Below are 27,724 nucleotides of genomic sequence, written 5' to 3'. Positions count from 1 at the left end.
CTTATCATCCTCATTCTTCTCTTGCTCACTTTCTCTTACATTGAAATTCTACTCTTATTTATCTCTTTATTTATTTCACTATTGTAAACTAGTGATGGAACTAAATTGCCTTTATTTTGCCTTAGGACAGGGGAGTACGTTATGTGGTTGGTGTCTAAATGAGGGATCATGTATCTTAATTAAAAACTCTACCCAGGATTTGGTTACATTTTGATGAAGTATTATCATCTACAGGTAGTGTGTAACAGCTCCAGACTGGAGGAAGGGTGTCTTTGTTTTAAGTGTCCTTGATCATGAGGCTCAAATGGCAAAAATCTGGTAAGAAAGTCCAGGACAGACTCCCTGACTGCTCTCAGATCTCTGTGCGGAAGGTTAGGGTGCTTCCTGCCATCTTCTTCTGGTAGTCCTTGTCAAATTCTTCATTTTGGGCCACAGTAAAATAGTTCTTCCAGTCTCCAGGCATCCCTGAAACAAGGCAAAATCTTAATGATTGCTGCAGGAGTAGAGGGAGAGGTAAGCATGCACCCTTAGGACCCCACCAAGAATGAGGAGAAACAGGCAACTTGCCTCTCAAAGGTTGTACAGTGGTGCTGCTGGAAAGAATAAATAATGGAGAATGAAACATTACTGGAAAATCTAAGCAGACCATGGGGACCACAGAGTTCCATTTGACATCTTAGACTACAAAGCTTATCTACCTTTCCTCATAAAAGGGGAGATGGAGTGGTCCATAATGCTGGTGGGCAAAGTGGTATAGTTGGTCATTGGGTTTTGCTTCATTACATCAAAGGAGGTGTGATAGATGATTTTATTCAGAATTTCCTCTGATATGTCTTTTTCCAGGAACTTCAGTATCTTCTCAATTTCCCGCTTTGGGTCCTGTATGTGGAACAGTCACACCAAACAAATCATGTTGGGTCTTCCCTTGGGGATGATGTTCCATTTGGACAGTATTTGGAGAGAAATGAGTTAAAGGATCATTTGAACACATTTTAAAAATATTTCTCAAGTGACTCCTAGTGCCAGACACTGTACTGTCCCAGATACTGTAGCAACACAAAGATGAGGGTTGTCCCTGCCCTCAAGAGGCTTACCTTGAAGGAAAGGAATTAAGCATAAACACAAACAATCACAAGGCTGGCTGAGAAAGTACATGCTGCCTACGTACAGACAGAGTGCCAGGAGATTTGGTGGGAAGGAGCAATGATATCTCCTGGGGGAGAACAGGAAAGGCTGTGTGAAGGAGGAACAATGTTGGTGGTGAAGCATAGTATAACTAACTCTAGTATTTGGACTACAACAGATGGCAAAAAGAACCTATGAACTTAACAGAAGGTCACTAAGAGGAGGAATAAAAGGAATCTCAAGTTGACCCAGAAGCATAGATCCTTATTTCTTGGATCTTTTTGATCAAAGAGATACAGAAAGAGAGAAAGCTATAGCTTTTGATTAAATTTCTGAGGACATCTCAGATGCTAGTTTTGTAATTCTAGGATGCTGATGCACTGGGTCATGAGAGTGAATTTGTGCAGACACTCAGACACGATGGTTTGAAATTCAGAAATCAGTCCACTGTCCCAATATGTGGGACTAATCCTACCAGTGTTTATATGGATTAAACTTTGCTTTATGATGTGGGGTTGAGGTGTGCAAGAGGGAGAAGGAAGCTAAATTTCTTGAACACAACTATGTACACTTTACAAGTATGATAGTGTAAATCTTTACAATGATCTCATGAGATAGATATGATACCATTTTGCAGATAAAGATATCTGGCTTACAAGTGCCAGGAGCCAACAGATTCATTCAACTATAAAGCATGTGCTATTTCCTGAGGAAGAAGAATATTTTGAAAACTGAATTAAAGCAAAGCAGATTTAGAATACCGAAAAAGTAGTTAGAGCTTTTGAGGATAAAACTGAGTTGCAAACATTGTCATGGACTTGCACTGAAGGCTCTTCTGCATGAAAGCCCATGCACTACCCCATTTTTCCTAACTGGAAATCACTGAAACCTAAGTTGTGCTTTCTTAAAGCCCTGTGAACTGAAGACTAAATGTTTCAGCAGGTGCTGCCTCTAAGCCCCTGAAACAAAGAGTGCTGCTGGGAACAAATAGACCTCCCCTATACCAATGCTGCATTCAGTGTCCCATAACAATGACACTCACTCAGCAGGAAGTAGCCAGAAATATTACAATGCCCCATATCCCTACAATTCTCATGATAAATAAATATACTAGCATGATAAGAATTATGCACAAATTGACAGTGGGGATTGTGGCAGGCAGGTTGCATTAATGCAGGCCTCCATCACAACTGTTTCAGTATTCAGTGAGTGGTTAAGTTAAATATTAAAAAAAGCCAGTGCCCTTATGCAAAGGCTGAAATGTAACAAAAGCCCATCCAGAGTTTTGCCTAGGCGTTTCCTGGGCCTTACAACATGACAAAATAATAAAGGAGTTCTTAACAGTACCCAGTTAGGATTATATAAGTTTTATTGGGGCTCTGAAGAAACTCCCCAGGCCTCCACAAACACGTTTATTGGAGGTCTGAAGGAACTCCCCAAACCTCAGTAGTTTAACAGGAGACAAGATAAGGGTGATCAACCCAGTACCTGGAGACCCATTTAAATTAAGCAAACTTCATTAGGCACCAGAGGAAGGTCTTCAGGACTCAGATCTTAGTTATAAATTAAAATAAATTAATCACATATGTCTTTAGAAGGCATGCACACTTACATGTAGACATACAGCTTAGAAGGTAGATAAGCTCTGAAAAATTTTGTCATTTTGAGTTGGTTTGGTGATAATTTCCAGGCCCTCTGAATGTAACCAGTTACAGAAATAAAACTTCTCTTCCTCCCCAGTTCATCTGCATCTTGTTATTGGGCCACAGGAAATAGCAGCCCGACCCTCAGTTTAGTCCAGGAACAGTCACATTGGGGAAAGTTCTAGGGGAGGCCATGGGGCAAACTATATCTTACACCTGTCTGAATCTTAGTAGCCCATAGCCAAAATATGCCTCTAGAAGATGAAGAGCAGTTCACAGCCTCCTTGTAGAAATGACCAGCAACTCTGTTTGTAGCTTTTACGAACTTTCATCAAGGCATTCTCAAACCTTACAGTTCTTAACATTAGATAGCCAAAATGCTTTGCCCAAAACCCGTGATCCCATCTTCTACACCTGGACTCTCAGCATCATACCCCTTAATACCTGCAAAGGCAGGCAGGTATCATCCATTGCATGGAAGAAATAAGCTTTGTATAGTTGGTCATCAATACTCTGAGTCCAAGGTTAGTACAGGAAATGTCTTTATTGACAGCATTCAATTGCTTTTCAATTAGTAGAAAATCATTTCTGAGTAGGAAAATGAAATTTGCTTTTCCTTTAATCTGCCTCCTCCTCTCTGAGGTAGACTGTGGACTCTGACAGTACCTGGGGCCCGAGCTTTCTAATCATTGTGGATTCTCATGTCTCCAATTACAAAGCACAGTAGCCCTGTGAACCAGTCTTCCAGTGCATTGACTAGGCAGGAGTGATCAAGGAATCTCTTTTTTTCTTGCTATACCTTTAGGGAATACTAGAGGAAATCTCTTCTCTGGATCACCAACTAAATATGAGGATGGTAATTCAGGTGGTTGGGTTATCTGGCTGGATGTAGGCAGTGGGGTAATGCCTGATGGGGAACTTTCACCCCAGGGTCCCCTCTGGGCTGGTTCAAATGCCCCCATCTTCATCCTCTCTGCTTCCTTACAGCAGGCCTTAGGGACCAGCTGCTCTCTTTTCTTAAAATCTCATCATCTATTTTTTACCTTTGAGTTTGTCTTCCATCCAGTTGACTAGAGAATAGGATGTCATTTCCCCTTTGCCTGGCGTAACAATAGCACTGCCTTGTCACTACGATAAGGTAGAGACAATGATCACAACCACAGGGAGGTTACTTTGCTCTGTGTACTGGGAGCTATGTATATTGTTCCTGATTCCCTTTCAAGATGTTAATTGAATACCTTTTTACACTTCTTTAATTTTATTTCTGAGTTTAAGTCTTTCCAAATTTCCCCCCTTTCTTACATGTTACATGCTGTCATCTCTGAGGCCATCAGCCCTGTTGGCATCCACCTACTCCCTAAGGCCCCTCAGGACCTTCTCTTCTAATAAGACAATTGTACTTGGTCATATAAAAAACCAGGTCTTCACTGGTGCATGGTTGAAGCACTAAATTTATATTAAATCTGAGGTCATACCTATTGTTAGAGTGATGCAACAGAGACTCTTTATTAAGAGAATGGCAATGCATAGTTATTAAGAGAATGGCAATGCATAGTCATGGTGCATTTGTCCCAGATCTCAATTTATAGATTAGATACATTAAGCATTTTATTTATATCGTGGGAAGATTTTTTACAGGAGTACTCACTGACTAATTTCTCCAACTCAAACTCTTTCGATTGAGAAAATTAGTTACAAGCCAAAAGTAGAGCAGTAATCATTTTGCAATTGATTGATATTTTGCAGTAGTAATTTATTTTTATATCATTCTATTACAGAAATGGTGACTCTGAAATGTACTTATCAGCTCTTTTCTCTTGGAAGTTATTATTTATACATAAAAGTATAGAATGTACACTTCAAGCTGTTACATTCTCTCTTAACAATGGGGCTTGTAATACCTATGCATAATTTTCTTGTGAAATCTACTTGGGATCACACATGGGAATCCATGATGCAATTGTTTGTTTTTGCTCTGTCTGTCATGCACAATAAAACATACCTGTACTTAAAAAACAAACAAACAAAAAAACTCATGTAGGCGGACTCTGCTCTCTAATTCTCTTATTTTATTTACTGGAGTAACTGGTTTGTTGATATTTTAAATCATGTTTTAATATTATAGCAAACTAGCCACACTATAGGAGATGGACTGAAGCTCATAAGCTCCACATTCAGTCACAGTTCCTTGCTCAACAGAATAAAAGGCGAAATAGTTGGCATAGTCTCTGTCACCTAGTTTGTTGTTGTTCCTCTCAGATCTCCAGGCAGAAGTTCAGTGTGGACCCTGCCATCTTCTTTTCATAATGCTTATCAAAGTTCTCATTCAAAGCCACAGTAAAGTGGTTCTTCCAGTCTCCAGGCATCCCTGTAGGACATCAAAGAAGTTCATGACAGACTCTGCACCCATTCCACCTAACCTTTCTATAGTGAATGGTTCCTAGGCCTACCCACGTGATTTTCCCATGAGTGAGGGTCCCTCAGTCCCACTCCCTCTGGTCTTTCCACTATGAATGGTCCCTCATTTCCACTCCACTTGGCTTTCTTACCACAAGGCACACAGCATCCTTATACTCCTTCCTCAAATGCTGCAGGCCCCACTGAGGTGCCCCACTGTGCTGAATCTTCTGCTCCAGGGTACACTCCTGGCTCTAGTGTACCCAACCCAAAGTCTACAGCTGGTTACCATCATGGACTTCCTGGGGGACAGCCTATCTTATTCTCCCAGGGACAGTGAAAGACGTTACAAGATGTCAGTAACCTCATTGTAGAAGATATTACTTGTTGGGTAAAATTAAATAGTAAATCCACTGGAAATGACATTTGGATACTAGGGATCTTCTGCAAACTGTTGTACCTTGTCAGCCCAACAAATGCTGTACTAATGAATTGTTTCTCTAAGTTATCCTAGTACTTTATTTCTACTGGTTTCCTACCCTTTGACAAGAGGATTAATCTGAAATGCTTGCCCATAATATCAAATTCTAGATTCCAGCTTGCAACTAGTTAATTGGAATGTTCTGGAATGGGGTCACTGTTTTTAAAGGTAATTTTGATACAGCCAGGAGAACTGGTATTAGGGAATTCCTAGTATAGCTTCCACTTTACTTTCTTGTTTATAACTTTTTGCAGCTATTTTTGCATGTATCTAGAATGTTAACTTGTTGAGGACAGAAATAATGTTCATTCATCTGTACACTCACACAACAGGCCATTACTGAGTTGTTTTGAGGTATGAGTCTCTATACTAGGTTCTAGTGGAACAAAACTGAACACTACACTCTCTTCAGGACAGCCTATCATCTTATTTTGGAGACAGACATGAATATCAGTAGTTACAAATCCAAGTACTAAGTGCTTAGCTAGGGTTTTGAACTACAGGGATAGACTAAAGATGAGTGTTCAAAGCTGCTCAGAGGATGCACAAGCCTTCAAAGGGAAGTTCATGGTTGAGGTGGGTATTGTAATCAAAGTGACCAGCACCATCAGCATCACCTGAGTACTTGAGAGAAAAGCAAATTTGAGGGCTACTGCTGGATCTGTGGAATCAGTATCTCTGAGTGGGGACCAGCAATCAGAGCTTTAGCAAGGCCTGCAGGGGTTCTAATGTGACTCAAGTTTCAGAACCACTGACATTGGCTGTCTGCAAACAGGCAGGGTGAAGGGAGCAGAGATTCAAAATTTAACTGAAATGAGTCACTTCTGCCTGAAAATTAGGTTGAAAATTATTTTAGCATATAGGGTAGAAAATTTTTTAGAGTTCAGTTAAGGAAAAGAAATGCCACCAACCTTTCCTCATAAATTTTGAGATGGAGTGATTGAATATGTGAGCAGGTACCGCAGTATGGTTGGCCATGGGATTATCCTTCATTACATCAAATGAGGTATGGTGGACAATCTTGTTTATAACATCACCTGACCAAGTTTTCTCCAAGAATTCCAACACCTTGTGGATCTCATGTTTTGGATTCTGATCATGGGAGAAAAAGGCATTGTGAAGAGGGAGGAAAGAAGAAGAACTTGGCCAATTAAAGACACAGCTTTTTAACAGAATAACATTGTCAGGAGGGTTTCTGGGTCTGACCTATAAGTCTCAGTGCCACTTACTTTTTTAATATCCTCGTAGAAGAGGTAGAGGATCCGGTGCATGTCTTTTGCAGCCCACCATCCTTTCACATGGTCAAACCAGGACCCGCCAACAACTGGAAGAAGTCAGAGCACTGTTAGTTCCCAGTACTGGGACAAAACCCAAGGCTATAAAGTAAATTAGTGCTCCTTTGAAATAAGCTTCTGTAACTATCGTTCTGGTTCCTTAACGAAGTGGAAATAATTTTCTAGTAATAAAATTTGTCTATATGGTGTAAAGCCGAGATTTATAGTACACATTTATTATATGTGACTTTGCACACATTGACTATGTCTTGTGACATGTCTTAAAACATTCGGCAATAAAATTCTTCCCCTGTTCCTGGTAAACCATGTTTAGTTTCAGACTCAACTAATTCAGGCCATCCTATAAATGGGTAGGGTCCTCCTGCTGCTTTCCCTGTATAGCTGCACTATGCAGTTTGCAAGTTCCTCTTCCAAAAGAGACTCAGCAGCAGCAGAAAGAGGGGTGCCCTCCAGGAGAACTTCTATTTCCAGCTGAGGCTGTGTCTACGTGGTAAACATGGGATGCATTTTCTTTTCACTAGTTGGTAAGAGAATGAGTGGACACCTGAGTTAGCCAGCACCATATTTTATCCCAGGGATGTTTTAGTGTCCCTGATAGGTTGTAACTTCTGGCAGCTTCCTGGTTTGGTTCTGGGCAGTCATTATAAACACAGGAGCTATCTTTATTCAGGGTGAGCTATGTTGCAAGCATTGTGCTAAGTGGACTTGAAGATTCGTCTGAAGGATGATGGAAAACATTCTCCAGAGGAAAATGACCACAGACCAAGTGAGCAAGTGTGTGAAATGCTCTCTTTTGAATCAGGACAAACAGAGATGTAAGTTTGCAGTGACTTGAACTTTGGCATGTGTCATGGTGACTGGTATCTGTGTCAGCCAGGTTCTCCAGAGACACAGAGCAATAGGCAAATCCAAAGAATACATTAGTTCATCCTTATGCACAGGGGATATATCACATGACCCCCAGCGGATGCCTGAAACCACAGATAGTACCAAATTATATGATAATAGTGTTTATGTTTTTTCCTATACATAGATGTGTATATTACTTTAATTTTTATATTAGGCACTGTGAGTGAATTACAACAAAACTAATAATAAAACAGAGCTTCTATAACAATATTCTCTAATATATTTACATCTATGTGAATGTAATCTCCCTCTCTCTATCCTTCTTTCTCTTGAAATACTGTAATATTTTTGGATTGGGGTTGATTGTGGGTGACTAAAACTGCAGAAAGGGAAACCAAGTATAAAGGGGACTCATCCATGTATATGTATGTGTGTGCATGTTTTATATATATGCATAATATAAATGTGTACACATATAATTTATTTTAGGCAATGGCTATGTAATATGTACATATAGATAAATGTACATATATAATGTATATTATGTATATATGGTTTATTTAAAGGAATTGGCTCCTGCAGTTGTGGGTCTTGGCATGTTTTAAATCTGTAGGGGATGCTGGAAAATCAGGCAAGATTTGATATAACAGCCTTGAGGCAGAATCCTTTCTTTTGGAAACCTGAGTTTTTTTTCTCTTAAGACCTTCAGGTGATTGCATAAAGACCACCCATATTATTAATATTTAACATTATCTCCTTTTCTTAAAGTCAACTGATTATAGATGTAAATCACAACTACACAATTGACACTTTCACAGAAACAACAGGATTGTTGTTTGATTAAATATGTAGGTGTCACAATCCAGCCAAGTTGACACAAAAAAACAGTAACAAAATGTAGGCCTTGGAAAAAATCATATAAGAAAAGAAGCTTGGATCCTGTCTTCCTCTGCTTCCTCCTACTTTTCCTGCTCTCAAAACTTCTCTGCATAAATATTGGAAATCTATTCACCTGGAGTCCTATCTAGATTTGCTATTTTTCTTATTTCCATCTGTCAGTCCTTTTTAATTTATGTTTCTAGAGAAAATGTTCTAATGAGGTTATCTCTCTTGATTCACTGGAGAGACATGCTTGATGGAAATTATTATTTATTGACTTTTCCACAGATATCTGTTTTTATTCAGGTCATGTTGTGGAAGTCACTTCATTTTGATTTTTCTTTTTCCTCAAAAGAATATGAATATGAATATGTCAGGACTGGTTATAATGAAGCTCAGGTCCCTAACACACTTGCTCAGGGATAGTTAGGTTGCTCAAGGACTGGGAGCTCTCAGCATCACAACTCACCCATTTCACTTATGGAAGTTCTAATTATTTGAGAGACGTTAGTGAAATGGTGGAGACACCATGTAATGTTTATCCATTTGTCTAGGTTCTGCTCACTGCAGTTATAATGAAATACTATAATCATGTTTCTGCATTAATGCTCATACAAATATGTAAAGATGGTCCTTACATCCTAAATCACTTTATGTAGCCATCTTATCTTTCTTCTGTCTAGAGATTGTTGTTTTCATGAGATATTCTTCTTCTGTGAAGGGTTTGAGATCCTTGCCAATCTGATTTGACACCTGGTCAAATCTAGTCAATTGCTATTTTGAAAAGTGTGGCCCTAATGTGTTCACTGCTTCTCTGGAAGGTGTGATCTTAATAAATGGATGAGGGGTCATGGCTGCTAATTCTAATGTGAGGTTCCTGCAGGTGAACAGGTCTAAGATTGTGCACTGTGACCTACGGGAAAGGCTGTCTGTGGCTGTGCAGTGTATGACTTTTGTAACTATACGTGGTGGTCTGGCCATCCAATCACACTGCAAGATGAAACCGCAGGATATCATCTCATGCCTTCCCACTGCCAGGTCTTTCCATAGGAAATGTTGCCTCTTCTTATTTTGAAGTTGATTGTTTGAAACTCAAGTCAAGGATTTGGGGCTTTTTACCTTTGTCTCAAAACTTATGACCCCAGTTGACCTCAATTTACATTTGTACTCAATTTTGGAAAAATACCTCTTCTACCTGGCTTCTCCAGTCCCAGATCATCAAGATAGGACCTCCTCAATCAGGATGGCCTTTTGTAACTTTCTCCTCCAGTTTACAGAGGTGCTTATTGTTAGAGTCACCTGAAAGAGGGTACCAAAAAGATCAGTTTGAACTCACCTTTTCCGGACATGAATTTCTCATAAAATTCCTCTAAGTTCTGAGGATCAGGCATAAAGGAAGCCATCCTGTGAAAGTGGTAGTAGGACACCAGGCAATCCTTGGGATTTCTGGCCACATAGACAATCTGAAATCAAGGAGAGGGAAGGAAGCCATGGAGAGAAAAATAGACTGACATGAAATACTCAAGTGAGTGTTTCAATACAATGGTAACCATATCCTATAAGTTTATAGCATTAGATACATTAGTTATGAATTAAAACATTAAATAAATGGAGTCTTTTTGACTCTGCAACCCTCATACCCATGGAGAACACAAAGACAAATGAGAGTGCCCCACTTCAGAGTGGTTATGAGGAACCACTCTTCCTGGTTATGCAGGAAGATGAACACATTATTAGGACAGCACTGTCAATCATGGAATATGATGTGATATGCTGAGTAATCATGGAGCCAGTGACAAAGCATTCCTGGGCATTCAGGGAATGGGCCATGAAATGGTGAGTTTCAGCTGTGTCTCAATGAGTTGAGAGAAATTTTCCAGATTCCTACAACAGGGGAAATACTAGAGAGTGAGAAAACATTTTTGTGCATACCATCTCATTTGGCTCCTATTAGGATTAGAGTTAGGTAAGGAGAGAATAGGTGTTATCCTTCAACAGAAGAAGTAAATGACCTTCAGAGGATTGGAGGCACTACCACTAATCCATGCTTAGTACACGAGTGGGTCATGCCTGGTCACAAAAATTGGGACACTGAGTCCAGAGCTAGTTCCTTGATATTTGTATGAGACTCACATGAGGAATGTTTCAGACAATGGTTCTCAAAGATTTGAGTGATTTTGCTATATATATACACACATATATATGTGTATATATACACATATATACATATATATGCATACATACATATATACATATATATGCATACATACATATATACATACATATGTATGCATACATACATATATACATATATATACATACATATATATATACACACACACACACATATCTCACATGGTTAGGACAGAGGGGCATGGTGATGTGATGATTGGAAATTCAGTATCATTCAGTCAACAAATGCAGAACAGAGATGTTAACTCTTCCTACGTGCCAGACACTGTTTACCTTGACAAATTGGGCACGATCAAGTCCCTGCCTGTCAGGAGCTCACAGTCTGATCAGTGAGGTAAGAAGAGAGAAAATTATAATGCAATGTGGTGAACAAAATGATGGGGAAACACATGCACAGATACCCCAATATAGATACATGAAACTCACTCAGCCATGGGGTCACAGAAGCTTCCTGTAGGGGCCCTCTATGAAAAGACCAGAAGAACAAGTAGGAATTATGCAAGTAAAGATGAGGAGATGCTTGAGTCAGATGAGAGCATGTGGAAGGTGTGGGGATGCTCCATGTGTGAAAGGACCTGCAGGATTTCAGGAGGACTGTAGTGAGGATCAGGTATGGGAAGACCCTGGGGAGGAGATGGAGCAGGGTGCAGACTGTCAAGGGCATGGAAGTCATATAGAGGATATGGAGGCATCTTCGTCCACCTGTGGAAGTGTTTATAGTGGGGAAATACCTCAGTCAGATTGTGTTTTAGGAAGAGTAGAGGTTACAGGGAGGAGGGGTTGGAGGGGGCAGGTCTAGAGGCAGGCTGACAAAGTGGGAGGCAAAAGAGAGCAGTGAGCTGAGTTGGGTACAGGTGGTAGTGTTGCAGTGTAGTGCACAGATTAGAAGGATGGGAAGAATGAACTGGACTTTGTGACAGATCAGACATAGAGGTGAGGGGGATAAAAATGAGGACAGGTTTGAGCTTAGTTTATTGAGTAGATTATGGAGGTGTGGAAGCCTTGACAAGAGCAGATTCTATACCTCTGCTTCTGAGGCCAGGAGAATATCTTCTAGTACTTTGGCAGAGCAAAGCAACAGGGTTTTATTTTTAAATGTGTTTCCCTCCATTCTAGCTCCCAATACACTCTCTGATTTGTAGCAACACAGACTCAATTTTGGAAAATCTTACCAAGAATTTTTCATGAAATAGGATTAGAGGAAAATGAATTTTAGAAAACATGGATGTTTGCAGATTTCAAATTTATGTAATCCTTGATTTTAAGTGCTTCATCTAAGAAAAATAGCAAATTATATTTTGGAAAATATTTTTCAAAGTATATTATTTTGAAAGATATCTTCAGTTGTATAGTTTATATCACCAAGCTAAGAGAAGTTTGAAAAGCCCCCTCTTTATACCTTGCAGTTTTCTTTCCAGATAGATGGTGGAATCAGATGTGAAGGGAGATGTGTTTTTATCAGTTGTGGTGAGGACATTTCAAGAACGAACTCCAAATCTAGCAAGAAACAATTTATATTCTTTGTTTATTCTTGGCACTCTGCCAAAATACTTGAATTCCATTTATATCTTTGTCTGTAGAGTGATTATATTTTGTTTTATATCCATTGGAAATAGTAATTTTTTATCCACAAGGACATACAAAGCATCCAATCCTGCCTAACCTTCTAGGAGAGTTTTGCTTATTTCCTCTTATTCTCTCAGCTTTTAGACTTTCAGGAAAGCTCTTTTTCACCCTCGATTAATTCTGGGAATGTTTGTTATATATCTGGTTGTTTTTTTCCTTTCTCTTTTTCTCTCTCTCTTTTGTTTGTCAGAAATTACATCCATTTTTTTACAATAGGTTGTCATTCTTGGAAAGAAAGACCTCTAGGAGGTCTGTCTTTATTTCATGTTATTCACTGGGTTTTACACTCTGAGGAAACCTTTTCAGCTCCCCCAATTAATTCTGGGAATGTCCACGGTATATCCCCCCTACTTCTCCTCCTTTTTCTTCAGAAATCACACCTGTTATTTTACAATAGCTGATTGCTAATTTCTGGCCTTTCCACTGATTCAAACATATGAAGGAGAATACAAAGCAGAGGGAGTCTTCTTTATCGTAACATTGGGTAGGAGAAATATGAGAAAGAGAATGAAAATCTTATTGGGGAGATAAAGGCCACCAGCTAAGAACAGGAGGAAGCCCTGAAGACCCAATCTAGAGTTTGATTGTTGGCCTGAGAACAAATAGACCTCATGAAAGATACAGGCTACTTCTGGCTACCACGGATGCTCTATCAGAGACAGTACACATTGCTCTGGAATCCTGAAGTGAAAGTCCTTTCTATCTTCGTGCATATTACTCACCTGGTTTTTCTTTATGGGGAAATTTCAGTTCAAGGAAAGCGTGTCTATCTAGAGTCTGGGCTCTTTTGCATTTCTCCACATCACCATCATTTAGAATCATGTCTAAAATTTCATGCATCCATGTTGTACCTGAAAATATTTGAAATAGTTCTTTAATTTTAGTCAATTGAACTTTCATTCTAAGTTATTGAATATTTTGAAGAAAGACAGCAACATGAGAGCACTTTAAAATTAGATCAATGTTGCCAAGGCAGAAATGAAAACTGTTGTATTATACCTGCATCTATCTATCCATCTATCTATCCATCTATCTATCTATCTATCTATCTATCTATCTATCTATCTAATCTATCATCTGTTTCTTTATGTATCTATGTATCTATCTATGTATCTAAGTATGTATGTATGTATGTATCTACTATCTTCCTATTATCTGTCTATCTATCTATCATCTTTTAGTATTTAATCTCTCAACTATCATGTTTGAGTGAACCATTTCTACATTTCCTATATTATGACACTTCATGCCAAAAATGCTGTATCTTCCAATATGACATTCTCTTATCATGGTTACTAAATGTTTCTCATCACATCTAGTTTATAATAAATCCTTAATAACATGAGATACTCAACCTATGTTAATTTTTTTCCATTGTATCATAATGTTATTAATCACTTTTGCCCAATTAAGATGTATTGGCTGCATTACTTTTGCTATCCTTTTTGTCTCAGCTTAGAATCATCTTTCCATATTTTTTCTTAATGATACTGATTTTTGTTCTTTGACATTGGTTTTTGAACGAATTAGCCAGCTGTCCTATAGTACTCCCCACATTCTGGATTTGTCTGATTATTTCTTCACAGTACATTTTTGTTCCTCTATTTCCTCTATTTCCCATAAACTGGAATCCAGGTCTTGATTAGGTTCTAGCGAACATTTTTGGCAGATTTCTCAGGCAGTGCTTGGTACTTCTTGCACCATGCCAAGAAGTACATACGTCTGATTGCCTCACTACTAGTGATACTACTGTTCATCATTCAGTTTTGTAGGTGACCACCAGGTCGCTCATTGTAAAGGCCCATATTTCCATTTGCTTTTAGGAATAAAACTATGTGGTGACATTTCAGTACCATGTGACCAGCCAGTTCTCCTCATATTTTATCTAATTATTTTAAGATTCATTCATTAATGATCCTACTTTACCTAATTTTTATTGTGGGTTTCAAATTGCTTATTTTCTAATCCCCTCACTTCTCTATTTATTAGGTAGATCTTCATATAAAGAACTTTCCCTCATAAATCAGGGAAGAACTGCAATTCCTCTAAATTCTTTCTCTTAATTACTTCTTTTTAGTCTAAGAGATGAATAACAGTTATCTTCAATCATAATACATAAGTTTTTCTTTTTGTATTTTTCATCATTATGGAATCACGTTTTTTGAAATAAACTTCAGTGTGGTAAAAATTACATAGAATAGAATGAACCTGTTATAAATGTGTAGTTTAAGGAAATTTGACAAATGTATGTAGCCATTACCATAGATAAGAGTAGAACGTTGTGTCTGTTGCTATCAGTAATTCTTTTCCTCACTTCCGACTCCACGGAACTGCTGATCTATGTTTTTGTCAATACAAATTAGTTTTACACATTGTTGAATTTCATATAAATGAAACCATACAGTTTGTCCTCATGTGTCTGAATTTTTTCACACACCCTCATTATTTTGGGATTCATTTATGTTCTTGTATATATCTGTAGTTCATTTTTTTTAATTGCTGAGAACAGTTCAATTGTATGGATAAGCAGTGATTTGTTTATTCATTTATATGACAATACGAATTTAGGTTTTCTTCAGTGTTGGGCTAATTTTGAATAAGTCTGCTATAGTGTTGTGTACAAGTTTTTATATGAACATAGATTTCTATTTTGGGGGTGGGGGTGAATCTCTAGGATTGGAGTTGCTGGGTTGTGTGGTAGGTGCATGTTTAGTTTTATAACAAACTGTTCAACATTAGTACCATGTTAGGTCCTCCCCAAAAGTTCATGAGAATTTCAGTTGCTCTGTGTCCTTATCAACACTTAGTATTTCCAGGTTTTTAGCCATTTGAAGTGGTGTGTAGTGGTATTTCATTATAGTACTAATTTACATTTTCTCATGATAAATGATGTTGAATATCTTGTGTTTATTGGTTAATAGTAAAGCTTTTTTGGTGATACATTTTTACATCTTTTGCCCACTTTAATACATTTTTTTTTTGTTTTTTGTTCTTAGTTGTAACAGTTCTTTATACCTTCTGGCCAGATATATGTATTGTGAATATTTTCTCTCCATCTATGTCACATATTTTTATTTTCTTAACTGGGTCTTTAGAAGAACAGAAGTTTTAATTTGATTAAGTCTAATTTATATTGAATTTACATTAAATGCAAACCATAAAGGGTAGTGCTTTCCATTTTTTTCCCCAAATTATTGTTGCCTAACCTAAAGTTTGAAGCTATTCTCCTATCTATACTTCCATAGTTTTAGAGATTTAATTTTAATTTTTTGAGGTCTGATGCATTGCACTTTGACTTTTTTGCATCTGGCACCAAGTAAGGGTCAAGTATTTATGTCTATCAACAATATCAACAGTATCACAGTCTTTTGAATGTTGAAGCTGAGTTAAATGTCATGAAATCAGTTAATATAAACCCTGCCACTTTACTCTATCAAAAATATTTGCTTTTAATGACATTTTCATAGAAATCTTGGAATCAATTTGTCAGTTTGTGATTGAGATTGAATTTATACATTAATTTTGAAACAGTTGATATCTTAAAAATATTGATCCTTTTGATCCGTAGATAGGGTATGCCTCCTTATTTATTTAAGTCTTATACAATTTCTCTCCGTAGTGTTTTCACTTTCAAATCATGCACAGCTTTGTTAAGTTCATTTCTGAATATTTCATGTTTTCAGGTGCTATTTATTTTATCAATGGTATTTTTAAAATGTCATATTCCAACTGTGTGTTGCTGGAATGTTGAAAGATAATAAAGTTTTGTATACTATTATTTTCTGTTACTCTGAATAAATTTCTTTAATATAACTTTTTATTTATTTATTTTTAGTGCAGCTGTGCGGGCAACACATTCAGCTTTTCGCTGTCAGAGAAAAAGTCTTTGACCTTTATTTTTAGTAATATTTTAATATATTATTTTTACTGGGTATATGGAATTCTAGGTTGAAGACTTTGTGGTTAACAAATTACCACAAGCTTCATGAGTTAAAACAACACCTGAATATTCGGTCATAGTTTCTGTAGATTAGAAATTGGGGTTAACATGGCTAGTCCTCTGTTTAGGGTCTCACTAGGCTAAAATCAAGGTATCAGCTAGGGCTGCCATTCTCATCTGGGACTTCAGGGTGTTTTGCCAAGCTCCTAGATGCCAACAGAATTCAGTTGCTTGTGGCTGTAGTATTGAGATAACTGTTTTGTTGATACTTTCTCTCTTCATCATTAAATCTATAATCATGCAGTGAACTTTTATTATACTTTAAATTTCTCAGACTTTCTCCTCTGCCACATCTCTCTGACTTCCTGTTCACATGATTCCACTGGGTCCGTCAAGATAGTCCAGAATAATCTCCCTATTTTAATATCAGCTGATTAGATAGTTTAATAGCAACTGCAAAATCCTTTTGGGAATGTAATCTGAAATAACGGCAGATGTAATAACAGAGGACTAATGTCATGGGGACCAAAATTCTGTCCATCCTATCCTGATTGGAGCACAAAAGTCTCTCATGCTTGTATAATCTCTAGGAATTATATGGCTAATAGTTTTCTGGTGGTTCCTTGCCTGATCTCATGGAGCTATAGGCTCTATGGAAGTGCAGTCTACCATTCAACAATAAACTAAAAGGGTCCTCTCTAAAGATATCTAAAGGTATTTATTTGTGTAGTTTCCTTCTGTCTGGTACTCTTACCTGCAAATAGCAGCCACTTCAACCTCTCAGAACTCCTACACCTGGCTCTTGAACTCAATGAGTTTGCTATGGCTTTTTCTTTTGCACCCTATAACTATACCCTATTCAGAAAGCATCTTCAGTCTGAGGATTGAGACAACTGTCATCCAAGGTCAGAAACCAGTGGTTTCATATATTTTATCCAGTTTCCTTTTTTATTATGGCTGGAGTACACATCCAATCTTGTCCCTTCGGCATGGCTGACCAGGAGGTTTTTATTTAATGTTCTCCCAATCAGTTAGTGATCATTCTTTTGGATGCTCAAACTGTCCCAAATGTGGCTACTGTGAGAGCCCCTTCACGTTGGTTCTTGTATCCTTCTACATGTCCCCATCAATTTTTTTGTTATTATGTGTGCTTTATTTTTACAGACATTTAATACAAACAAACAATTCTGGGAATATATACTGATCACTTACTCCTTCAAAAAGAAGATGTAGTACATTCCCCTTGCATATTCTATTCCCAAGAGTGGGATCATCAATTCTCCTAATAGCTGTGGTTCATTTTAATGGAGAATGGCCTATCGAAAGTGAGTTCTGGGCATTAGGTGTGCCCATTGACTCTAGCATGTGTTCCAGTCTAGGAATTTTTAGAGAAGAATTAGAAATCTAAGGCATTTTAAATCAAGGTCAGTCATTGGGCTTTTCTGAATGAGACTAATTTGGTACAGAGCAGAAAATTCATGGCTGACATCCTCCAAGAGCTTTAGAGGATTAGAAAATCAATTTGTGTTTAATATCTGAGATAATAGATTAATATTTGGAGTAGGACATGCTTTTAGAAGGCTGTCTTGAGGGTTGATGTTTAAAAAAGCCATAGGTCTTTCAATTTGTTGACCTTATATTTGATGTATGCTATGGGTTCTGGAATGGGAGCATTATCTGCCCTACTACCAAAGCATTTAGAAATCTTTTCTGTTCTCTTCAGAGAGTGCTATTGGAAATTGTTGTCCTAGGGATCAGGAATGCTAAATGTCCTGCAGCACCAAAGAACAGATCTCCATAATGAGGAATTGTTTCTCTCCAAATCCCAATCATGCTTCATTTATCAATACAGATTATGCAATAATTTCACGTGAAAATATTGAATATTTTTATGTTTTGCTACCCTTACCTGACTTTGGGTAAGTTGCCAGAATAAGATCATCAGGCTTGGCTTGGAAATTACATACTTTTTCCCACCATTCTTTTGATAATATCAACGTAGGGACTCCATCTACTTCCATGATGTTAAACAGTTCTGGCTTTTTTTCCATCGTGGGAGCGTTTTTCTCAATCTTCGCCATTGGGAATCTGGGATGGGTAAGATCAATACTAATTAAAATTTTTAAAAATGTTGTTTTATGGTTCATAGTATGGGTTATCATCTTACTGCCTTTGATTAGAATAGCATAAAATAAGTGAAAGCTAACATATAACATGCTAACAACTTACTCTATGTACATTAATTATTTAATCTTCATAGCAACCACATAAAATAGGTAATAGTTTTTTCTGTTTTCTACATGTGGAAACTTAAGTCATTATAAGTTTAAATAATTTGATAAAAGTAAAATAATCAATACCTGTTGGGGCTGAGATTTATACCCAAATAGTCTTTTTCCTGCTGCATGACCTAACAACCATATTACTTGTTAATCGGGAATATAATGGGTTATGTGTCATATATTGCTTCATTGTCTTCAAGATATTATTTTGTATAATTAGAAGCGAGACAATTACATTGAAGAAAATTCAAAACAATGGTTTTAAGGAGCATTCTATACTCAATTTTCTTGAATAGTTTTCACAGAGAAAATCTTCAAAAAACATAATTTCATGTAGTTTTTTTTTCATTCATGGAATAATTTTTGAAATATCAGTCATGGGTTACAGCAGAAAAAACTCTCTTGTACCCATGTACCTGAAAACTCTCATGTCTACTAACTCTGGAAACTTGGAATTTAGTTGGGGTCTGATATGGTTCGCCTGTGTCCCCACCCATTATAAGGGGGAGTTCCCCTGCACAAGCTCTCTTTTCCTTTGCCTGCTGCCATTCATTGCCTTCCACCATGACTGTGAGGCTTCCCCAGATACGTGGAACTTTAAGTCTGTTAAACCTCGTTATTTTTTAAATTGCCCAGTCTCAGGTATGTCTTTATTAACAGCATGAAAAGGGACTAATACAATAAATTTGTACTAGCAGAGTGGGGTGCTACTGCAGATACCTGAAAATGTAAAATTGACTTTGGAACTGGGTAACAGGCAGAGATTGGAACAGAAGAAGACAGGAAAATGTGGGAAAGTTTGGAACTTTCTAGAGACTTGTTGAATGGCCTTGACAAAAATGCCAATAATGATATGGACAATGAAATCCAGGCTACTGTGGTCTCAGATGGAGATGAGAATCTTGTTGGGAACTGAAGTAAAGGTCACTCTTGCTATGTTTTAGCAAAGAGAATGGTGACATTTTTGCCCCTGCCCTAAAAATCTATGGAACTTTGAACTTGAGAGAGATGATTTATTGTATCTGGTGGAATAAATTTCTGAGCATCAAATAATTCCAGAGGTGACTTGGGTGCTGTTAAAGGCATTCAGTTTTATAAGAGAAGCAGAGCATAAAAGTTTGGAAAATTTGCAGCCTGACAATGCAATAGAAAAGAAAATCTCATTTTTGGGGAAGAAATTCAAGCCAGCTGCAGAAATTTGCATAAGTAATGAGGAGCTGATTGTTAATCTCCAAGACAATGAGAAAAATGTCTCCAGGGCTTGTCAGGAGTCTTCATGGCAGCCTCTCCTATCACAGGCCCGGAAGCCTGGGAGGAAAAAATGGTTTTGTGGACTAGGCCCAGGGTCCCCGCGTTGTGTGCAGCCTAGGGTCTTGTTACCCTGCTTCCTAGCTACTACAACCGTGTTACCCTGCTTCCTAGCTACTCCTTGATTGTCCCATTGGCCAGAAAATGGCCATTCAATTCCCGTGTTCCTTTAAGGCACCTATTCTGTCTCCTATTCAGACAGTGCTTAATTAGTAAAGGGATTCTAAGTCTGGAAGTTAACCAGAACCCTTTTTCTATGGGTAAATGCTTTAGCATAGGCCATCATAGCAGGATATAGAGTTCAATCTAGCATGCTCCCTCCCTTAAAGGGGCCTTGCCCAATTATGTGATTTTTCTTGAAATTCATTTTTTTTTTGGAAGGCACGCAGGCCACACAAGTCTAGGAGGTCAAAGGGAAATAAAAGGCAGAAGACTAAGACTGCCTGTGGACAGTATGACTAAGGCCCAAAAGTTTAGTTCCTCTGGGGCCATGACTTATAGGGTCATGTCTGCAGTCATGGGTGGCACATTTAAATGGGTGCCAGGATTCAGGAGCCAAAGACAGAAAATAGTTGAGGAATGCCCTCTACTGTTTTCTTCTCCATCCTTGATCACAATACCGAAAGGAAGGAGACTAAAAGGACACTTTTATTCTCACTTCTGTTTTTAGATGGGTAACAGATCATCTTCAACATGCACTCCCCTGGAGTGTATTTTGAAGCACTGGGACTCCTTCATCCTTGAAACTTTGAAGAAAAAGTGGCTTATTTTCTTTTGCACAAGAGTGTGGCCTTTGTACTAGACCTTTGCAAGTGTTGCAAAATCAACCCAGCTCTTTTAGCAATCATATCAGGCAGGCCCAAAGAGAATAATTCCCCAAAATTAGAAAAGCAAGGTCCTGGGAAACCACCTGAGGATTCCCTTATTTGGGGGTGCCTTCAAGTTCCCTTCTCATTGCAGGACTTTAGACAAGTAAAGGCAGACTTAGGCTGATTTTCTGACCACCCTGATAGCTATATAGAAGCTTTCCAAAATTTAACTCAGTTATTTGCCCTCTCATGGAGGAAAGTTATGCTGCTCCTAAGCCAAACCCTAACTGTAGCTAAAATAGGCAGCTCTGCAAGCAGATGAGAATTTTGGAAATAAGTAATATGTCTCCTATAGTGTGCCAAAATGGAAAAGAAAAAAATAGGGAAGGCAAAAATATAGGCAAAACACCATTCCCAATAGGAAGAGAGGCGATACCTCATAACAACTGTAATTGGAACTCCTTTCTGTAGTATTTTTTCTTCTTTTATGGTTTATAATGGTTCTATCTCTTTTATAATGTCCCCTTAACCTGGGAAAAGTTAATTTTCCAAACTTAAAAATGCTTGGCTTAGAGTTGAGCTAGGGGGAAGGGAACCCAGAAGTGTGATATGCTGGCAAAAGGGTAAAAATTTCTTACCAGTTGGGCTTTTGGCTTCTCTCTCCCTGTGTGAGCCAGTAAAGGGGATAATAAGGATCATTGTTTATATTCTCTGTGAATTTATAATTAATGAAAAAGGATTTTTGTTGATCTTAAGCTGTAGACAATTTGGTGTGCTTTGCATGTCTTTCTGTATGGTTCTGTCAAAGAAAAGATACCTTAGGTTAGGATGCAGGCCCAGGACCCCACAAGTCTGCGGTTCAAGCCAGCCCAACATAATAGTAACAAACTTGGCCACAGGCCTCCATCTTGTTTCATGTCTGGATACATGACCTGTAACTACATGGCAATAATATACTTTACTCTCAGCCTTTTTACAATGGTGGCTGTCTTCTTGTGCTAAGTCAGTTCCTGAGTAAGGGCCAAAAAATCATATAAGCCAGTTTGTCAATCGGGTGGTGCTAGCTGATTCATCAAGGGTAGAGTTTACAAAATATCTTAAGCACTGATCTTGAAAGCAGTTTAGGGAGGGTCAAAATCTCATAGTCTCTTGCTGCATGACTCCTAAGGGATGGTTTCAAGACTTCTGGCTAGTTTTTTGGTCTTGTTCCCAGGCAAGAGGGAAGTATATCTTTTTTTTTTTTTTTGAGATAGAGTCTTGCTCTGTCACCCAGCCTGGAGTGCAGTGGCTCAATCTCAGCTCACTGCAAGCTCCACCTCCCAGGTTCACGCTGTTCTCCTGCCTCAGCCTCCCAAGTAGCTGGGACTACAGGCACCCACCACCACTCCCGGCTAATTTTTTGTATTTTTAGTAGAGACAGGGTTTCACCGTGTTAGCCAGGGTGGTCTCGATCTCCTGACCTCGTGATCCACCTGCCTCGGCCTCCTAAAGTGCTGGGATTACAGGTGTGAGCCACCGCGCCCGGCCCTGGAAACATATCTTAAGAAGGAGCTGTTACCATCTTTGTTTTAAAGTATAAACTGTAAACCAGGTTCCTCCCAAAGTTGGTGAAGCCTGTCCCCAGGGATGGGCAAGGACAGCTCGGGCGCTGGAAACAAAATGGAGCTGTTTGGGTCAGATGTCTTTCACTGTCTCAGTTACAATTTTGCAATGATAGTTTCAAAAGCTGCTTACCCTCCTTTGAAAATGCCTTGCACACTCACGGTTAAATCATAACCTAATTAAGGCTCATTGGTTTCACCTGTAAGGTTACTTTTTGTAAAATTGAAAAGTCAAAAATCTTAACTGCTTGGCATGGCTAAAGTCGAGTAAAAAGGGATTTAAAAGGATTTTCTTAAAGAGTGCTCAGCTTAATTAAAAATGGATATTCAAGTTATAGGTATATTTAAAAGTTTTTCTGGAAAAAGCCTTTTTTCCTCTCAGTCGACTGAATTATTTTTCTCTATTTTTTGTCTTACCACTCCTAATGCATGCATGAGAGGCCCAAAGATAACTTCTGGTAGCATGGGACTCCTTGGGAAAAACAGAGGAGGTGCCACAGACCCTGTTTTGGGAAAATAAAAAGCCCTCTGTTTTTCCCACGAAGCCCCCAAAATTAAAAGTAGATAGTTTCCTCTCAAAATCAAAGACTCTGTTCTGTTATGTATTGTGTTATATACTGTTTATGTTTTGGGGGTTTCACATTACTTCACATTATGAGAGAGATTTGCTGTTTAATAACCAGGTAGAAAATACACTGTAAGGGACGGCTAGGAGTAGTAATAAATCAGAGAAGCATGCTCTTGGCCACCTGAAAGGTATGAAAACATCCCCACCCTCCACTAAAAAATAAGACTTCTATGGGGGGATGGGCTAATTGCCTTCAGCTGTGTCTGCTTATTAGGCACTAAAAAATGCATGGTACCTGACCCTGCTCCTCCAAGGGCTCCACCCTAAAGCCAGTAATCCAATTAAAAAACTGGCAAATGAAAAATCTTAACAAGTGCTGAATCTTCTGTCTGTGCTGCTATATATGTTTTGTGTGTAATGTCTGCAAAAAGAGCTCTAATTGATTGGCTTAAAGAAAAATAATTGCTTAAATCAAATACGTTTTTAGTTCACATGGCTTTAAGAATTAAAAATACTCTTAAGAATTATTGGTAGAATACAAGTGTCGTCAAAATGCAAATAGGTGGTCTGAATCATATAACTTAGATACCAGGGTTGCTAAATGTTCCCAGGTTGTATATTGCCTGCTTTACAGATAAGTAAGGCCTGGGACACATGGAGTTAGATACTGAAAAGTCAAACTTTATTTGCGTTTCTGTCTGGGTCCTAGGATCCACACCTGGTATATAATTAAAATCGCTTACTAACCAGGTTTTCCAGTGATTTTTTTTTTTTTTTTTTTGAGATGGAGTCTCACTTTGTCACCCAGGCTGGAGTGCAGTGGCGCCATCTCTACTCACTCCAAGCTCCACCTCCCAGGCTCATGCCATTCTCCTGCCTCAGCCTCCTGAGTAGCTGGGACTACAGGCACCCGCCATCATGCCCAGCTTATTTTTTGTATTTTTACTAGAGGCGGAGTTTCACCATGTTAGCCAGGATGCTCTCAATCTCCTGACCTCATGACCCACCCACCTGGGCCTCCCAAAGTGCTGGGATTACAGGCATGAGCCACCACGACCTGTCCCAGTCATGTTTTTAACTGTAACTATCCGGGAAATTTTGTCATTCACAGACAATTGTTTTCTTGCTTTGTTCCTTAAATATCAAGCAAGACAAGAGTTAACTAAGTGGACTGCACCCAAAAAGTTAAAGCAAGCTTTTAAACTTTTGCTTGGAATATTGCTGATGCTTGTTTTATTTTGTATCATCAAGTAAACTTATTTTTAACTATTTATGGCTTTTAATAATTGAGTAAGGTACATATTGTGAACCAAATTTGGAGCATGTTTATTTTTCTCTGCCTGGTTCCTCTAGAATTAGGAGACTATCTATGAGTACTCTTAACTTACGGCAATATAGTTGTTTGCATCAGTGTGACAATAATCCATTTTTCTTTGTCAACAGGACACAATTGGAAAAACTGGTTATTTTACATATGCTTTGACTGAAAGGGTGTGTTTCCCTTTGAGGAATCAAGCGTGACACGCAGAGCCAATAAAGCCTCTTGGGGAGAGCTGGCCTCATACCTTGTCTACACAGTGTGGCACAGGGTTCCTAACCTCTGGTCAGTCAGGAATGTCACTTTCTAACAGGTCTGGGAACTAACTCCATGTTGATCTTGGGAACTCAAGAGAAAGACTCACACAACTCATGGAGGATACGAACCATGGCTGGGCTCGGCTTTAAATGTCTTATCTGAAATTCCTTGTGGAACAGTTTCTTCAAAGCCAATCCAAAAGGCATATGTAGATGTAACCATTCTTGCTGCACATTATGCAAATAATCAGGCCAAGTATAAGACTATAGTGTATTCTACCCACAGCACACATGGTCTTATCATAATTTGTTTTTACCAAAAATGAGTACTGGAGAGAGAAATTGTGTTCCAAATGTTATCATATATTTGTCATTAAATTCTAGTCTCTTTCATTGTTTTGAAGCTTTTTGCCTACATTTTAGACGAACCCTGCTTATTCCTGTGAATCAAGTGGTATCTCCTACAGCTTGGAAGAAACAAAAAGGGATGGGTAATGTAAAAATCTGAATCAATATGCTAGTTCTGGGCAATGATCCTGCAAATTCTGCCAGGTAATAAAAGTAAGTAGGGTGCCCACCCATAATCTGGAGGTTTCTTTGTTTGGGAAAATAAAACTAAGAAAGTTCACAGACCCCCAAAGGGAAATTCTATATCTTGGTAAGTAAAATTTTAGATGGAAATTATCTACTGCACCACACTTATGGGAATTGCTATATTCACTCTACTATTTGCAATAGGGTTACAGGTATTTAAAGATCAAATCAAAATTATTGAATGCATTTAGCATCTCATTCTTTCAGACCATCAGGGAAAGATATCTAAATAGAGTTAGACTTCTGCTTCAGTGTTACCTCAGGACCCAATACCATCTGAAGATGCATGAGGCATTCAGTTCACGACTTACCTGAGTTTTATTTGGAGCTGCAAAGTCTAAAGGCTCCAAAGCTATTTTTTATATGATTAACAAGGGTTGAATATCCCGACCCTTTTCCAGGGCCTGGTGGTCGTCAGACACTAGGATGAGAGTCTCTAAGAGGGTGAGGCTTACCTGGTATCTCAGGCAGCAGAGGAAGCAGCTTGCTGCCTTTAGTCAAACTGCTTCCTGGAAACCCAGAGCCAGGTCCAGCTCCAGGACACTGTGCAAGCAAGAGCACAGCAGGTGAGGATGGTGCTGACTGTCCAGAGCTTATAAACCTGGGAGGATGGGTGGGGTGGGTGTGTCAGCCTGGGGTAAGGCTGATGCCAGGGCAGGACTTTGCACCTGCTGCTGTGTTCTGCCTCCACTGGATCCTGATGTACTCCCCAAGGTACAAATCTAGTCCTGGCTTGGCTCTCTGCAGATACCACAAAGTTGAGGGTCGCTGCTCCCTTTTTGATACCAGCTACTCAGAATGTAAATGAACAGGTCCAACATGAGGGAATACAAACCAATAATTCATTAATTATCCCAGGGAGCCCATATTTATACTGAAGGTCTTCCCAGACCAGCTCTCAGGACAGGAACTTGCACAATTATTTCATCCTGTTCCCTTTGACCCTGTAGAAAATATATTCTATTGCCTCTTTACTGAATCCGTAGTTAAAATTGGTGTAGAAGAAAGTTCATTTTAGGAAACCACAAGGCCTGTAATAAAACCATGAAACCTCCATGTCCCCCTCTGTGTGTGTGTGTGTGTGTGTGTGTGTGTGTGTGTGTGTGTGTATTTCAGGGCAAGAATGTCGGGGTTAGTGGATGCAGTGGGACACACTGTGGTTGTCAGTGGGTGTGGGCAGGGGAGAACAGTCTCCAGAGCTTCTGATCTTGCACTCCTCACCTGGTGCTTAGTAAAATTTCCATCTGTTGAGATGATCTAATTATTGATTTTACTCTTTTTATTATACATAGTAACACTCAGTATACTGGAGTTAAGTAAATATTGTACAGAGTTCATTGTTAAAATTCCATATATTTACATTGTCTGTCCTCTGTTTTGCAAGACTCCCAGAGACCATTCCTAATCTTCAATTTCAGTTATACTTTTGAGACAAAGTCATTGCTTTTTAATCTCTTTCTGAACTTTTGTTCCTGATGATTGAGCACTAAAACACAGAGCCTTAGGGCATGACTTTGAAGCCATATGGCTGTGTTCTCCATTATCTGGCAACCTGGTTTTAGGAATCATGTGACGTGAATTATGTAGAGCATCAGAACAGTGCCCAGGACAAAGGATGTCCGGCACGTGGTGGTTCATATCATCATTACACTTGGCTGCTGAGCTGATGTCTTGCAGAAAACCTAAATGAGGTCTGTTTGTGAAAACTCCTGGTGGAGGAGGAGGACTAAAATGCTCCCTTTATAGTTTCCATTACATATGCATGATATAGAATGTTCTCACTGTGAAACATGACCATTCCTGCTACAGACCTTCTTTAAGGGGTGAACATATCAAAACAGGAAAAATGTGAGTGTGAAAAGAGGTTCTGTTGATTACATTGACTGTCAAGGTAAGAAGTGGGAGTTTTCCAGCTAAAAGGACAGTCCCCGTCCAATTGGATCATTTGGTCACACTGTCATGACAGACCTGAAGCCAATAACAATTTTGATAATTGTCCTAGGGGCTGGTGTAGGAAGAACTGGGAGGTTTTCTTGGATAGAGTCCCCTTGCCTAAACAGATGCTGTAATTGTCACAAAACCATCTCTGCATGCTTGTTGTTTTGTGCTGTCTCTGGTCTCCTTTTGGAGGGAAGAACTGCATGTGTTAAGATCCAAGGGCAGAGAACCTGGTCTACTTGCATCTCTTTGTCTCTCCCTGTGGTTTCTTTTCACTGCACATATTTGACAATTTGATCCCCTGTCTATGTGGTATCTTTTGTTAGGTCTTAGTCAATTTTAGCTTTTTTCCATTTTAACAACTTCAAAAGGCTTAGAATTGTACCTGAGGTTTCCACCTTGCCAGAATTTCTAGTTTAGGGCCCACTATTTATCTTTTTCTTTTTATGAAAAAAAAAAAAATCTTTTTTTTGAGATTGAGTCTTGCTCTGTTGCTCAGACTGAAGTGCAGTGGTGCGATTTTGGCCCACTGCAGCCTCTACCTCCTGGGGTCAAGTGATTCTCCTGCCTCAGCCTCCCGAATACCTGGGACTACAGGCACATGCCACCACACCTGGCTAA

The 27,724-nt window shown here is 38.8% G+C and overlaps 1 protein-coding gene across 2 annotated transcripts; it reads right to left on the bottom strand.

Annotated features, from left to right (window-relative positions):
• Positions 1–352: 352 nt before the first annotated feature.
• Positions 353–25,736, bottom strand: SULT1C3 (sulfotransferase family 1C member 3). Of its 2 annotated transcripts, none has more exons than NM_001008743.3 (8): positions 25,621–25,736; positions 18,338–18,516; positions 13,211–13,339; positions 12,262–12,359; positions 10,006–10,132; positions 6,876–6,970; positions 699–879; positions 353–465 (listed from the first exon to the last, which is right to left on the bottom strand). In NM_001008743.3, exons 2-8 carry the CDS (start codon positions 18,507–18,509, stop codon positions 353–355), a joined length of 915 nt encoding a protein of 304 aa, NP_001008743.1. In that variant the 5' UTR covers positions 18,510–18,516; positions 25,621–25,736. The 2 variants fall into 2 exon arrangements, with proteins under 2 accessions (NP_001008743.1, NP_001307807.1); NM_001320878.2 differs by lacking the exons at positions 353–465; positions 699–879 and adding exons at positions 4,818–5,136; positions 6,558–6,738.
• Positions 25,737–27,724: the final 1,988 nt, after the last annotated feature.

This window comes from Homo sapiens, chromosome 2 (genome assembly GCF_000001405.40).
Source record: "Homo sapiens chromosome 2, GRCh38.p14 Primary Assembly".
NCBI lineage: Eukaryota > Metazoa > Chordata > Mammalia > Primates > Hominidae > Homo > Homo sapiens.
This window is presented reverse-complemented; position numbering and strand designations above follow the sequence as displayed.

Bases quoted from the DNA above. Each gene is read 5' to 3' on its own strand.
- SULT1C3 (NM_001008743.3), bottom strand. From the start codon at position 18,509: ATGGCGAAGATTGAGAAAAACGCTCCCACGATGGAAAAAAAGCCAGAA. The intron at 13,340-18,337 runs GTAAGGGTAGCA...AAATATTTTCAG, and splicing joins GGCAACTTACCCAAAGTCAG to GTACAACATGGATGCATGAA. The intron at 10,133-12,261 runs GTATAAAGAGGG...CCTTGATTTCAG, and splicing joins TCTGGAAAGAAAACTGCAAG to ATTGTCTATGTGGCCAGAAA.